The sequence below is a fragment of the Homo sapiens genome, chromosome 12, assembly GCF_000001405.40.
Source record: "Homo sapiens chromosome 12, GRCh38.p14 Primary Assembly".
In the NCBI taxonomy this organism is placed as follows: domain Eukaryota; kingdom Metazoa; phylum Chordata; class Mammalia; order Primates; family Hominidae; genus Homo; species Homo sapiens.
Genome location: NC_000012.12, coordinates 53,463,739 through 53,479,275, shown reverse-complemented (window position 1 = coordinate 53,479,275; position 15,537 = coordinate 53,463,739). Strand labels below are relative to the sequence as shown.

Here is a 15,537-nt window from a genome sequence, read left to right as displayed (position 1 = left end):
TAAATTTACCAGTACCATGATCCTTTAATCCTTGCAATTCAAGCATGTGGAGGTCTATTACCTCAGAACCAAGGGAAACAGCCCTTGTTATCCAATGTCCCTCAAACTATGTTCTCTTTTAGTTCCACCTCCATGGTGGGCTAACCAAGGAGTGTACTTTCTGGAAACAGGCCCCTCTAAAGAGTGCTCACAATACACAGAAGCAATGTTTCTTTATTGCTGAGCTCACTTTGGCTCCTCCCAAACTGCTGACAGAATACCAGTTTAGGAAAGAAAGAGTCATCTGAGAGTAGTCTCAAGGGTTTAATGCTGAGACAACTCAAGGCCTTTACTTTAAAGCCCTGGAGTTCTATCAATGTGTAGGGTATTATGAGGTAATACCGTTTTAAAGGTAAAAAAAAAAATGTTAAAAAGAGATGTAAAAAGAGTAACTATGGGTCAAGAATTATACTCAGATTTACTTATTTATTGAGACAGAGTCTAGCTCTGTCACCCAGGCTAGAGTACAGTGATGTGATCTTGCCTCACTGCAACTTGTGCCTCCCTGGCTCAAGCAATTCTCTTGCCTCAGCCTCCACCTGATAGCTGGGATTACTGGCAGCCACCACCACTCCCAGCTACTTTTTCTATTATTAGTAGAGACGGGGCTTCAACAGGTTTCCCAGGCAGGTCTTAAACTCCTGACCTCAGGTGATCTGCCTGCCTCTGCCTCCCAATGTGCTGGGATTACAGGCATGAGCCACCGCGCCTGGCCTTATTTATTTATTTATTTTTTTGAGACTGAGTTTCACCCAGGCTGGAGTGCAATGGCGCAATCTCAACTCACTGCAACCCCTGCCTCCCGTGTTCTAGCGATTCTCCTGCCTCAGCCTCCTGAGTAGCTGCAATTCCAGGCAGCTGTCACCATGCCCAGCTAATTTTTGTATTTTCAGTAGAGACAGAGTTTCACCATGTTGGCCAGGCTGGTCTCAAACTTCTGACCTCAGGTGATCCACTTGTCTTGGCCTCCCAAAGTGCTAGGATTAGGCATGAGCCACCACACCCGGCCTTAAAAAGTTCTTTAAAAAGTTTTCAGGACTTAAAAGTAGCAGACAAAATAATTTGTTTCAACTCTGTAGCTCACTCTACAAGCTCCTAGATCTTGTCAAGCCATATCCTCCATCTAAACATACCTGGCTACAATGCCTTTCTGTTTCAAAGAGATAGTCATTTGAGGTCCTGGAATCCAATTTAGGGCTTTCAGGGAAAAGTATTTAAGTACTCAGTATGCTTCACTGGTAGGTAGGTAGGCAGCAAGACTTTGCCCTCATTTTGAATAGAACCAAATGTATAAGACTTCATTTCAGTTCATAAGATAAGTTATTTCATAAGATTTTAAACTGATTAGCATAAAATATTTGTGATATGTGGTCATGAAAACATGATTGGTAATTCACCATCTGTATCCCTTCCACAACAATGCAAAGCCAAAAGCTGGGTAGAAAAGCAAGGGCCAAAAAACTGCAAAGTCCTTCGACTACAAACTATTTACTTTTAGTCAGAAATGGTTTCTCCACCTCAGTATTAAGGGAATATTTAGGGTTTTTTTTTTTTTTTTTTTTTTTTTTTTTGAGACAGAGTCTTGCTTTGTCACCCAGGCTGGAGTACAGTGGCGCGGTCTCGGCTCACTGCAAGCTCCGCCTCCCAGGTTCACGCCATTCTCCTGCCTCAGCCTCCCGAGTTGCTGGGACTACAGGCGCCCACCACCATGCCCAGCTAATTTTTTTATGTTTTTAGTAGAGTCGGGGTTTCACTGTGTTAGCCAGGATGGTCTTGATCTCCTGACCTCGTGATCCACCCGCCTCGGCCTCCCAAAGTGCTGGGATTACAGGCGTGAGCCACCGTGCCCGGCAGGGGATATTTAGTTCTTAAAAGGGGGGTAGATTCGTGCCAATTTCAAAACACAATGATCTAAGGAAAGGTAAACAATAGCCCTGGATTAAAGGGTTCAGTAAGAACTGAAGGTCTAAGAAAGGAACTGCTAGATACCATTAGATCTAGGACCTGAAAATTTAAGTTCATAAAAATTGGTGGTAGCACTCTGGCCCCACCAGAGCTCTGAAAGAAATGTTCTGAATGTGTATCAAGCCCGAATGGGGATTTGCTGGGGTGGGGGAGGTGACGCAGGGAGAAGGGGATGCTATGAAATACTGAGTCAGGTACTCTAGGATAAAAGACCACATGGGGGAGCTCTAGGGTTTAAAAAAATTTAAAACTGAGGCCCTTTGGAGGTAGTGATGGTAGCTAGACCCTTAAACATGTGGAATCCTTCCTTGGGGAATAGCCATTAGGTTAAGAGGCCTTCCAATCAAGAACTAGATAAAACCACATCCCTGGGGGGAGATGGTATCAGCATGATTAAGTCCTAACTACAGGAGGAGCAAGCTTACCAAGGGAGAGAGCTGGACCACATGATAAAGGAGCAACTAAATAAAACTCCTTACTGGACAGGTTTGGCCATCTAATCCTTTATGCATACTTGAGACGTGTAACACTTCTTCACAGGCCCAATCTGGGATGGAGGGGCCAAAATAACATCAAAGAATGAGATAATATATTGGAATACTAACAGCTTTTTTTTTTTTGTCAGCCAATGGTGATGCTGGGAAAAGGTCATCAGGGAAACTATCTCTACACTGAGTTCTCTAATGCCCTGGGAAGAGCATTACACTTTCAGCACTGTGGCAACGTGTACTCTCGTTGAATGGAAGGCTATCAGAGGCCTTATACCACCATACTAAGAACATTTCTACTGTTTTATGAGAGGCCTGTGCCCATCTTAGTATAAGAAAATGAACAAGATTTCAGGGAGGTTAGTACGATTGAGTAAAAGTAAAGCTTAAGTTGTTAGTCCTGGCTAGTCACTCATAACCTATGAATTTAAATTATCTTAGGGCCTCTATTTTTTAATCTGTAAAATGAGGGGATCAATGTGTTACAGATTAGTTGATCCTTAAGGTTCCTTCCAAATCTAAGCATGTCACTTCCTACTCCTGATAGTGCTGGTGGGGAGCAGAAAGGATACGGCCAGGAATAGAAAAAAGGGTAAAGAAACTTGGTTGACAGAGTTGGTTTAGGACTAGTGGATGGCATCATGTCAAGTTGTGGATAATGTCACGGGTTGGCTGAGATATACCTAATGTCACAGAAAGAGGCATAATGCTAATTCAGAGGAATGCAGACAGAAGCTGCCTAATTTTATTAGACTTATCCCACTTTGCCCCTCCCCTTCATTCTGGGTAAAGAAGTATGTTCTTTGAATGTATGACTTGGAAGAGATCCTCATGGTAACCATTCACCAGAGGAATCCTGGGATGAACACCTTGTTAGCTGCTGCTGGCAAGGTAAGGCCATCTGAGAAGTCAGATAAACTTCCTCACTAGTGAAGCTTGTTGCCAATTACAGAGGACCTTCAGGATCTAAACTGCCACAGACTCGTTATCTCTTTGTGGAAATATTGACAAACGACTATAAAATTCACTTGGGATTCAAAAAGCCCATGTCAGTTATACAGGCTTCCTAGCTGAATAGCCACAAGTCACAAGCCCCCAACCCTTTACCCTTCACAGCACACAGTGTACTAAGGTTCTTACTGCGCCAACTTTATTACAGCTAGAAACACAAATATGGCCAAGAAGGCCTGCTGATAGCTTAACCATTAAATAATTCTTAAAAAAAAAAAAAAAAGTTAACGAAGCAGCTTTTATTCATTAACACAGAGCCTAACACATTGTTATATTGCAAGGCAGAATAAAGCTACAAAGAAAAGTAACAAACAAGAAAGAAGAGAAAACTGTGGCTCTAGATAAAGAATTCAAGTCAGACCCTGAAACAGGCACTCAGCTGAAATGGCCTAAACCTAAACAAGGGTTACCACTCCCCCACCCCCACCCAGTTATCCCCCAAAGTAGTAAAAAGGAAACGGTAACAAGCTCACAATAGTTTCATTCTCACCAATGTTAACAAAGGAAAACAAAATGAACAAAATAATACTGGAGGAGGTGCCTCAAGGTATGCAATCAGTAGGGAGAGAATCTCTGTTTCTCGCCTTTCAGTTTGTTAGTTACACATGGCACGGCAGAGGTGGTGGTGGTGGTAGCTGAAGCCCCGGTACCCTTAGCAGCAGACACAACATTTAGAGCCAGGAGAGGGATGGGTTTCATGCCAAGCAGACTGGAGACACAAGGGGCGGTCGGAAGAGGGTTGGGGAGGCTGGAGGGTGCGTCGGAGGTCCCCGCTGTGGCGAGCGAGGGGGTGGTGGTGGAGGAGGAAGAAGAAGAAGGGGTGGAGGGTTGAGAGAGGTTGATGCTGAGGTGATCAGGGATCGTGACGGAGGCTGCCTGGGAGGAGGGTTTAGCGTTTTCTAAACTGTAACAGAGGAAAAAAGGAACAAAAAAAAAGGGTGGGTGGAAGGGAAGACCACAAAAGGGAGTAAGTACAGGACAAAAACTGCTTCAGTTATATCAGTAAGTGCCTCTGGTTGACAATTAGGAAGACCTAGTGTCAACTTGTGACAAGCTTTCTTTTAGCCTATGTCCCACCCTCTAAATATGTATATTTCCATTCCACAGAGCTACTTAAAAACTGCTATGGTGAAGAAAAAGCTGACAGAGAAAAGAAATCATAGGGCACATACTTCATGTATCTGACACACTGACCCAACCCAGATGTTGAAGGAATGATTTCGGGTAGAAAAAGATACTCATCAATCACCCAACAAGGAAGAAATGTTTCCTCTAATCAAATGTCAATTTCCTATTCTAACAGAAAATCAATTATCCCACAATTACTTGTGAAGCTTTGAATATTTATAAAGCAGAATTTTTAAAAATCCTTCCAGCTATGTATTAAAGTCTGCTTACATCTCCACAGCAAACAAACCAGTATCAGGGTGGAAAGAGACAAGAGTCCAAAGTAGGTCACTGACTAATTTCAAATTTCAAAGAATGTAGCGTTTTCAAAGAAAAATGCTGAGAACAGAAGTGTAGATAAGAACTAGGGAAGCTTTTCTGGTGGGAGGTGGTATAAAAAGTTGTTTCTGACTGATCATACTTCTAATGTGGACCTTTCAGAAGTGGAAAAGAGAAACTCAAGTATCACCTAAAAATTCATACTTAAGCGAAAATGCTGCTGCTTCCACTCCCAAAATAAGCTCCACAGAACAGTAAGGGTACATGTCTCCCAAATGCCTGTATGTGTCTAAGCCAGAACTACATATATTTGGGAAGTGTGCCTGGACAATTGAGCCCACAACGCTAAGTCTTCAAGAGCAGAAAGGCTCCTCTTAAAACCTCATTTTATTTACCTATGTCCAAGGACAGCTGCAATCCATAAAGGAAAGGGATACAGAAGTCAACTAACTATATAAAAGGACAGACTGCCACCATGAAAAATCAAGAGACAGGAGAAAATGCTCAGAATCCAGTAAAATCCTTCTTGACTTAAAAAAAATGAGAAAGGAAAAAAAAAAAAACCCTTTGACTTCTGCATTTAAACTGCACCAAGTTGAGAAAGAATAAGCTTTGTGCATGCATAATCTTTGCTTTGGTGTTAGATGAAGCTTTGAAAAGTTTTGACCCTAATCCATGGCTAAGATACCGAATTGCTATTCAGTAACAATGATCCTGAAAAGAGCCACTCTACCAAGAGAATTCTGCTTCCTTACAATGTAGCCACTGACCTATTGCAGGAGCTAGGCAAGCAGGTCACATTTAAACAGTCACAATTTAAATTACATGAAGGGCAAGCCTATCGAAAGAACAAAACAAATTCCAGCTTTCAAAAACCTGATTCTTGCCACTGAAAACTGAAAACTTCTTGCCCTCCAAAATCCTAATTACAAATAAGAAAAACAAGCTGGGCATAGTGGCTCACGCCTGTAATCCCAGCACTTTGGGAGGCCGAGGCAGGTGGATGACAAGGTCAAAAGATCGAGGCCATCCTTGCCAACATGGTGAAACCCCGTCTATACTAAAAATACAAAAATTAGCTGGACGTGGTGGCACGTGCCTGTAAGTCCCAGCTACTTGGGAGGCTGAGGCAGGAGAATCACTTGAGCCCAGGAGGCAGAGGTTGCAGTGAGCCGAGATGGAGCCACTGCACTCCAGCCTGGTGACAGAGCAAGACTCCGTCTCAAAAAAAAAAAAAAGAAAGAAAAACAATTCTTGTAATCCCAGCACTTTGGGAGGCATATCACTTGAGGTCAGGAGTTGGAGACGAGCCTGACCAACATGAAACCCTATCTCTAAAAAAGAAAAAGACCTCTTTGCAAACAACCTTGGTGCAAAAGTTTACTACTACCATTTCATTCTCAACATTAAGGACCTAGTGTGCTTGGTGGGTGGACAAGAAAACAAATCTAGGAAAGGGAAAGCTTTTCTACACAAAGAGTAGTAGCACCTCAAGATATGAAGTCTTAAGGCAAAAGTCAGACTGCTACTGGGGAAATGGTATGTTCTTAGCTAGCACTAAATAACCATAGCATATATACATGGTCAGTACAAGCACAATACAGACCACATACTTAGGAATTCCTTTCCCCTGTACTAGATTCAGGAACTCATGTAAAACTTTTATGACAAAGAGATTAAACACTTATAAGAAAGGTAAATGATAACTAGACAACATTCCCTATTAAAAGAGACCTAAGGGCCTCAAGGCTAACAATGCTTTGAAATATTAGTAAGCAATTAAGGGTGTGACTTCAGCCCATGAGTTGAGAAAGCAAGTAATATAAATGACTGTAGGATCCCATTTGACTGTGAACAGTGTCCTAAAATTGAGAGTAGTAACACTACCTAGCTATGGATAAGGGAAATAAAACCCTCAGGAAGTCATTAAGGGATGAGATTGGGGGAGGAGTGAGATAGAAAACACACTTCACACTTCCGAAACATTCCAATACCTGTGCTTCCCACATTCCCACAAGCTCTGAATAAAACACACATGCAGTGTGAGAAAAATGGGTGTTTCCAGAATAAATGGTAATTGCTGCCTCCCAGAAACTGCCTTGCTGTCCTATTACTCCAATGTCCTTATTACAATTAAGGGTGCTTTGGACTCCAAATCAAATCAGTGAAAGAAATAGTAGTCTATATGCTATGTAGAACAAGAGAGACCCACATTTGATTTTGTGAGTGCTCTAGCCAGAGGACTCTTACTGAAGACAAGGACCACTCTTCCCTCTTACCAAACCATCAAGTTAAATGCGGGCAATCTGTGCTCCCCCCCCCACCAACCCCTTGAAAACTTACTGCAGTTTACTTTTTCTGCTACACTCTAAGAAAGTAGAGCTAGCAAAAAAAAAAAAAAACCTTTTGGCCATCTTTACCCATCGCCCATGTAATCCCATATTTAATACACTGCAGCTCTCCCCAACACACACATTACTGTGTTGGCATAAATAAGACAAAAGGTAGAGCAATCTTACCTGACATTGATTAGATATTGAGCCAGGCTAATGCTGGCAGCAGATCCAGTGATGGTAACCTGCCTATCAGTAGATCCTTCCACTGGGTTCGCAATTTTGATCTGCGCCCCAGACATCTGACGGATCTCATTGATTTTGGCGCCTTGACGCCCGATTATGCAGCCAATCAACTTAAGGGAGAAAGAAAAACAAGGCACACCGAATTAGAGTTGCATGGCTAGGTCTAAGAATCCCACCCCCCCACCCCAAATCCTACGACTGTGGCCAGGCTGGAGTGCAGTGGCCTGATCTTGGCTCACTGTGCAACCTCAGCCTCCTGGATTTGAGCAATTCACCTGCCTCAGCAGGACTACAGGCGCATGCCACCATGCCCAGCCAATTTTTGTATTTTTAGTAGAGACGGGGTTTCACCATGTTGGCCAGGATGGTCTCAATCTCTTGACCTTGTGATCCACCCACCTTGGCCTCCCAAAGTGCTGGGATTACAGGTATAAGCCACCGAACCTGGCCCTTTAAAAAAAAAAAAAAAAACCGAGGGTCTCGCTATGTTGCTCAGGCTAGTCTCAAACTCCTTGGTTTAAGCCATTTTCGAATCTCAGCCTCTGTATCTCTGTGCTCCCTGTAACCTGGGATTACAGGTGTATACCGCCATGCCCAATTTCATCCTACACCCTTTACTCATACACTTTTGATCAAAAAACTCAACTCTTGACCCATTTTTCAGTCTGACCACCCATGGTGAGTGACAGCCAGTTCTGAGCCAACTCAGAACTGTCTTTTAGGTCCAAGAGACATAATACTCTTAGGTCCAAGTATTAGCTCTTCATTATTTCTGTCCTCAGAATATTACTTCCAAAGACAAAGCAGAGCCAAAACAAAAATAAATTTAGACAGCTAGAAATAGATAAAGGTAGAAATACATTCTGTTTCTGGCAGCAAATATGCTTAAAGTCATCCTGCCATGATTACCACCCTCCTATACCGACAAGAATTCTGGCCAATTCCTAAGGTGTTTTTGCCTTGGGAAAAGGTGGAAAAAAAAAAAAAAAAACTGGTTAACATTTGCACTAATACTGTAAAAAATATGACCCTGGACAGCACAGATCTGATGTTCATGAACCACTACACTATGGTGGGGGACCGTGGCTCATGCCTGTAGGCTGAGGCAGGCCAATCACTTGCGTTCAGGAGTTTCATGGCGAAACTCTTGTCTTTACAAAAAAAATACAAAAAAAGTTAGCCAGGGATAGTGGCATGCACCTGTGGTCCCAGCTACTCAGGAGGCTGAGATGGGAGGATCTCTTAAGCCTGGAAGTTCAAGGCTGCAGTGAGCCACGATCATGCCTCTCTGCTCCAGCCTGGGCAACAGAGGGAGACCCTTTGTCAAAAAAAAAAGCCACTACACTTTTTTTTTTTTTTTTTTTTTTTTGAGAGACGGAGTCTTGGTCTGTTGCCCAGGCTGGAGTGCAGTGGCACGATCTTGGCTCACTGCAACCTCCGCCTCCCAGGTTCAGGGGATTCTCCTGCCTCAGCCTTCTGAGTAATGGGATTACAGGTGCGGGCCAGCACACCTGGCTAATTTTTGTATTTTTAGTAGAGACAGGGTTTCACCACTATGGTCAGGCTGGTCTCCTGACCTCGTGACCCACTTGCCTCAGCCTCCCACAAGTGCTGGGATTATATGCATGAGCCACTGCACCTGGCTGAAAACCACAACATCTTCTAAAGATAAGGCTTTAGCTTCTACAAAAAAACAAAAGCAGGCTGGACGCAGTGGCTCACACCTGTAATCCCAACGCTTTGGGAGGCTGAAGGGGGGGGATCACGTAAGGTCAGGAGTTCAAGACCAGCCTGACCAACATGGAGAAACCCCATCTCTAATTAAAAAAAATACAAAAATCAGCCGGACATGGTGGCACATGCCTGTAGTCCCATCTACTCGGGAGGCTGGGGCAGGAAAATTGCTTGAACCCAGGAGACGGAGGTCACAGTGAGCCAAGCCTGGGAAACAGAGCAAGATGCCGTCTCAAAAAAAAAAAAAAAAAAAGCAGCAAATGTACAGGAATTTCTTTCCTTTTTTGAAATGGAGTTTCGCTCTTGTTGCCCAGGCTGGAGTGCGATGGCGCGATCTCGGCTCACCACAACCTCCGCCTCCCGGGTTTCAAGCAATTCTCCTACCTTAGCCTCCCAAATAGCTGGGATTACAGAGATGCAACACCATGCCAGGCTTTTTGCTTTTTTTGTATTTTTAGTAGAGATGGGTTCCTCCATGGTAGTCAGGCTGGTCTCGAACTTCCAAGCTCAGGTGATCCACCCGCCTCGGCCTCCCAAAGTGCTGGGATTACAGGAGTGAGCCACCGTGCCCAGCCAGGAATTTCTATTTTCAGCAAAAAGTTACTGCTGTCTCGTCATACCTCACACAATAATAGTCTATTTTCTCTTATCATATTTGTCATCACAATTCTGTATATTATAATCAACTTATTTTTGTGTCTAAAAATTCCCATTTTCCATTCCTGGGGTATGAAAAACAAAAACAAAAATAAAGATAAAATAATAAAATTCCCAGTTTCTTTCCCTAGGGCTTAAAAGTAGCAGGACATGTAGGCCAAGTGCGGTGACTCAGACCTGTAATCCCAGCACTTTGGGAGGCCAAGGTGAGTGGATCACCTGAGCTCGGGAGTTTGAGACCAGCCTGACCAACATGGAGAAACTCCATCTCTACTAAAAATACAAAATTAGCCAGGCATGGTGGCACATGCCTGTAATCCCAGCTACTCAGGAGGTTGAGGCAGGAGAATTGGTTGAACCCGGGAGGCGGAGGCTGCGGTGAGCCAAGATCGCACCACTGCACTACAGCCTGGGCTGTTTAAAAAAAAAAAAAAAAAAAGGGTAGCAGGACACTGCTGAAACGACATCTATTTCTTTACAGTCTATTTTCTTATTTTCATCCCATGCAACCTAACTACACTTACATCGTTTGGAATGGTGAGTTCATGAGAAGTAGTCTGAGCAGATGCATCCAAACCTGCTAAAAGACAGAAGAGAGCAAGCAAATTCAATGCACAGCATTCAAAACCTCACTGACTTGCACATTAAACTAACAGAAGGAAATAAACTGGAAACCCAGCATCATTAGCTGTTGGGATTCATCACTAACTTGGAAGCCTCCAAAGAGGAAAGAGTGGGGGAGAAGGGTGTAGAAATAATGCTCGAAAGGTTCTTCTGTACACTCAGAAGAGCTGATTTCATGCCATTTCCTGCAAAGCCCAGCCTATTAGGGATGGGGGATGGAAGCAAGGGCAAGGGAGTGTGGTATCCTCAAAAAGGACCAATGTCTAAACAAGTCCTTCTGTACTTCTACCCCTTTCCTGTTGTGTTCCAAATTGTATCTCACCTGATGCTCACTAGCACCAGTGCCAATATTATGCCTGTTAATGGGTACCATGGACTTCTGGCACACATGCAGAGTTGCTTTAAATATACCTGTATCAGATTAATCCCCTCCACCCCCTATTCTCCTAACCTAGACTGGAAGGTCAGATAGAATGAAATGGCAGTCAGGTGAGGGGACTTCATTTCTCCAGATTTAGTCCCTGTCTTTTGTTCAATAATTTTGTTCTGGCTTTCATTTTGTTTTCCAAAGAAAAAGAAAGAAAAAAAAATCCCATCAGCAAATACCCGTACCCATCTTTAACAACACCTGGACTGAACCAGGCCAGCTGGCTAACACTCAAGCTTAGTCCTGATCTCAGCTATGGCTGCTGTCTCATCATTTTTAGAAGGGGGTTGGCCAGATCCATCAAGGGACCCTCGGGGGCTCCAGGCCCACCCCTTTGCTCTCTCAGCTCCTCTCTGCCATGTGCATGTTGCTGGTATGGTTCATGGGCAGTGAAACAAGACTCCCACCAGTTTATTAATATAACAGTAGAATACTACAGATTTTTTTTTTTTTAATCATTACCCCAATAGCCTTTCACCTCTGGAGAGCTGGATTCAATGCCTGTTAAGATACAAGTGAAAATGAGTTTGGTGGTCTCATCCTAACCCTATCGGACAAGTTATTCCTTATACAGAAAAGCCCCAAAAACGAAACAAAATAAAAACAAAAACAAAAACAAAAAAAACACTACACAATTTGGCACAAATGGATGGTCTCTACCCAAGCCTGTGAATTGCTGGTGGAGAGAAAGGGGGTGCTGATCAGATCAAGGGGGCAGCAGTCAGGATGGGCTCAAAGAAATATCAGCCTACCCTTTGCCTGACAAGCATCCCCAAACCTCACCCCCAAACCTTCCAGGGCTTTTTTTTTCTTTTAGAATAACTGACCCCAAATGAAAACCACGTTAACAAACACATTACCTCCTTGGGCTTAGCCATAGTAGACAGGCAAGTTTAAACCAGCAGGATGCTGGATAACGAAGTTTGTTTTAAACAGATGTCAAGCTGAGACCTTGGGACTGGCCTCTCTCTTGCACTACACCTTACAGAAATAAACACTGAGGTATCCATACCACTGAATCCGGTGTTGCCATGCGTCATGGGAAAATGAGACTGTTGCATTGCCAACTGGTGCAGCTTGGTCAACTGCAAGGAGGAAACAGGAGGTTGGCATTAGAAGATTTAACAGAGCCAGGGCTCAAGCACATTCGAATTTGAAAATGCAGGTCCTGATTCCCAAAATTGACTCTACTACTCAAACTACAACAGAGGGTAGGGATGGGGCTTGCATCACAATCCTGGGGATTGGCAGAATATGAAGGGTAAGGGTTAGAAATAGAATGGGTGCCTGGAAGAGAATGAATGCCTTTTGGGTGTGGGAATAGAAAAGCAACAGCACTTGCCCAACGACCATCCCCCTTGGAGGCTACTTAATGAAGGTAGTTTGCAGCCATTGCAACAGTTGCCGCAGGGACAAGCACAGACAGGCTAGGTAAACAAACTGTGCAGTGGTGCTAGGGAAAACACACCATGCAGGGTTTCATCAGTATTGGGGAGAGGGAAGGAGATGAGGGGGGCAGGGAGACTGCAAGGAGGAGAGAGGTGAAGAAACCATACTGGGTTTAGTCCCATCACCGCCACCACTGACTACTACAGCTATTTTTATTCATCTATATAAACTGTCCTGACTGTCATAAAATAATCCTTCTTCACGTCTACTTCCCTCTCTCCTGGGGCCTACCACTAACCAAGACCGAAACTCAACTTCCCAAGTCTAATAATGCTCAGCACCTGAAAAGGTTAGTAAGGATAAAAGAAAAGTGCAGAAAAAAATGCCCTTGAAGTCTAAATACCGGCACTTTTAAATAGGAGGTTTTAGCAGCAAGAAAGGTTTGAGTTGAATTCTGAAATGTTCAGGTTCCTATCCCTCTCTGTGTAACATAAGCCCCTTCCCCATCCCTCCAAATACTTTTCAAATTGTCATCTCAGATTGAGGAGTTCCCAAGGGCAAACCCAACCTCCCATTACCCTCATGGAAAAGAGAACTGCATGCAAGGAAGCACAGTCCCAATGTCAATTTAAACTATGCCCTGAGATAACAAATCACAGTATACCATGGAACATTTCCCTTTTAGAAACAGGGTAATCTGAAACACAGGGGGAAAGGAGAAGCTAATGTGCTGAATTAAATTTCAGGGGTTAAATGTTAAAAGGCAAACAAGGCATTACCCTGATTAAAGGGCTAAAATATGGGATTGACCTTGTGAAGAAAACAACTTAATACTGCAAATGCTGAAGACCCAACTCACTTCTGGCTACTTGGGAGAGAGGAGTGAGACAATTTTGGATGGGAGAGGGAGCTTTTCAAAACAAGAAGTGAAAACAAAACTTACATCTGGCTGTGGAATGGCATACTGTCCTTGAATGGTATAGGCCTACAAAAGGAGGAAAACAGTTCCTATTAAAAACCAATCACGGACAGCCACCCAGTGGGGGGAAAAAGACATTTCAACTAGCCAGGAAGCCAGAGTTGAACTAGAGAATGGGGGAGGCCAGAGATTGAGGCAGTAGATGGAATCTCACAAATATGGTCAGACCCAAATTGGCCTTCTTTGAACCCTAAATATGACTTTGTTCCGGGGAATCCTATAAAGGTAGCCAAGTTCCCTGCAATCAAAGGCAAAATATACATAACTGTTTCTTAATGAAAATGTGGGAAGTGAGATTAGCAATGCCTCGACTGACCAAGCCCCACTCTTCCTCCCTGTATACAAGATAGCCTAGGAGGAATAATGATCTCTTCCCTCACCACCCCAACCCTTCTACCAATTGTGGTGATGTGGAAGATCTCTAACTGCACAAACCTACATGGTATGTTTTAAAACACTTCCCTTTCTCCAACTTATTTCTCTATCTGCCTAAAGACCTTAAGAACACTGGATGCTAGCTGAGTCCCTAACAGTAGGGAGCTGATCACAGGTAAACAAAAACCACTGGGTTCTAATTCCTGTCTTCTCCCACCTCCCCTCCATAGGCATTTGCAGCTCCCACTATGCCCTCCTCCCCCCCACAACATAACCTCCCAAAAAGGGAGCTGGGTCTTCAGGGCAATGGGGTAGGGAAAAGGAGGAAAGGAAAAGGGAACAGGGAGGGAGGGGATGGAAGGAGTGGCTGGTTAACAGGATGTGAAGTTTCTCACATCACAGTGGCCAGTACCCCCAAAAGTACACCCAGGTGGGGGTGGAAGGAAGGTGAAAATGGGGTGGGAGGAGTGGGAGAGGGGAAGAGGGGTTGAACAAAAAAAAAATTAAAAAAAAAAAAAAAGTTGGTGTTACCATCTGGTGGGCTACGCGGCCTGGGTGAAATGAGGTTGGGGGGGTCAGTCCAGGTCCCCGTGGACAGGTGGTGTCCACAGCACCAAAAATCACCAGCGCCACTGGCCCCCCGTGTGTTGGCAGTCTCGGCTGAGGCGGAAGGATTGAGTGAGCCTTGGAGACTGAACATCCCCTCTCACCTCTAGAGGTGGTCCCTCCAGGTCAGGGTTGAGGCACATGGACGGGGTGGTGTGGGGAAAGCTCGCACTGTCGCTGCCTGTGCTGTACCTGTCCTGTGGATAAATAGAGGATTTCAGTCTCCAGGGCTGTCAATCCGGCACCTTGTCACCAGCATGAAATTCACACAAAAAAAGTTGTTTATTTTTTTCCTTTTTCCTTTAAAAAGGAGCTCAGACACAATTTGAAACGAGCTGTAATCAGTGAATTAAAAAAAAAAGTTACCTAGTGGCAGATTTCACACTGCACAATTGGGCTATTTTCAATAAGAATGAAGGGGTGGGGCAACAGAGCTGATGCCAGCTCCTGGTCAGTGTGGGATTAAGTTGAACCCCTACAGAGCCCACTTTGCCACAAAGGAACAAAAGACACAGGTCCATCTGTGGACATTGTATATTTAAAAAGGCCTGTGGGAACAATCCATGACAGGGCCACTCATAGAAGAAGCTGCAAATTTTTAGACGGTGGTCATCAACTAAATAAAGGGGAGGGAGGGAGGGAGGGTGGGTAGGGAAGCAAAGAGGTATGAAGGGGGAGGTGTGATGGGGAGTGGAAAAAAAAGGAAGTGAAGGAAGAATTTTAAGTACAGAGGATTGCTGCCACCCAGTATGGGACTCTATTCCAAAGGGGGAGTGGGAGAATCCAGAAGAGCAGGAACCTGGAGTTCCTGGGAAAGAAAAACTCCTAAGGCTAAATCCTTCTGGCGACACTGACTCTGGGCCTTTGCTTATCCTGCCCAACTCTGACTAACTAGACTGAGAGCCCTTTGAACAAACCAGTTTGTACTTTTCTAAAAGCAAGGTACTAAACTGACTCAAGGTTAACACTGTGACATAACCGACCTTCCTGTGAAACCTCTCATAACTACACGACAAACTAAACCTCTAAAAACTTGTTCATTTTTATGCCAATTCAACACAATGTGAAAGAGATGGACTCCCAAGTTTATGCTTGCCCTCTAAATGGCTCCCAGATCAAACGCAGGTAAGATGGAACTAGTTAACTAAATATGCTTGTAACAGACCAGCCCCAAGTGGGAAAAGGTGTTTTGAGCAACGCACTTGCTTAGGCAGCTAC

At 44.0% G+C, this 15,537-nt stretch overlaps 1 protein-coding gene and 1 long non-coding RNA gene across 8 annotated transcripts in view; both read right to left on the bottom strand.

The window, feature by feature from the left end:
• Positions 1–15,537, bottom strand: part of PCBP2 (poly(rC) binding protein 2) — a 29,061-nt gene that overhangs the window by 1,887 nt on the left and 11,637 nt on the right. For 2 of the 7 annotated variants that reach the window (NM_005016.6, NM_031989.5), the window contains exons 9-14: positions 14,424–14,516; positions 13,303–13,344; positions 11,983–12,055; positions 11,433–11,471; positions 10,444–10,499; positions 7,469–7,638 (exon numbers count right to left, since the gene is read on the bottom strand). In NM_005016.6, coding sequence (NP_005007.2) covers positions 7,469–7,638; positions 10,444–10,499; positions 11,433–11,471; positions 11,983–12,055; positions 13,303–13,344; positions 14,424–14,516 — 473 coding nt within the window. The remainder of the gene's footprint in view (positions 1–7,468; positions 7,639–10,443; positions 10,500–11,432; positions 11,472–11,982; positions 12,056–13,302; positions 13,345–14,423; positions 14,517–15,537) is intronic. The other 5 variants (NM_001128911.2, NM_001128912.2, NM_001128913.2 and 2 more) reach the window with 3 other exon arrangements.
• PCBP2-OT1 (PCBP2 overlapping transcript 1) lies at positions 14,219–14,808 on the bottom strand. The gene has a single exon (NR_109828.1). It is a non-coding gene; the product is annotated as a PCBP2 overlapping transcript 1 (long non-coding RNA).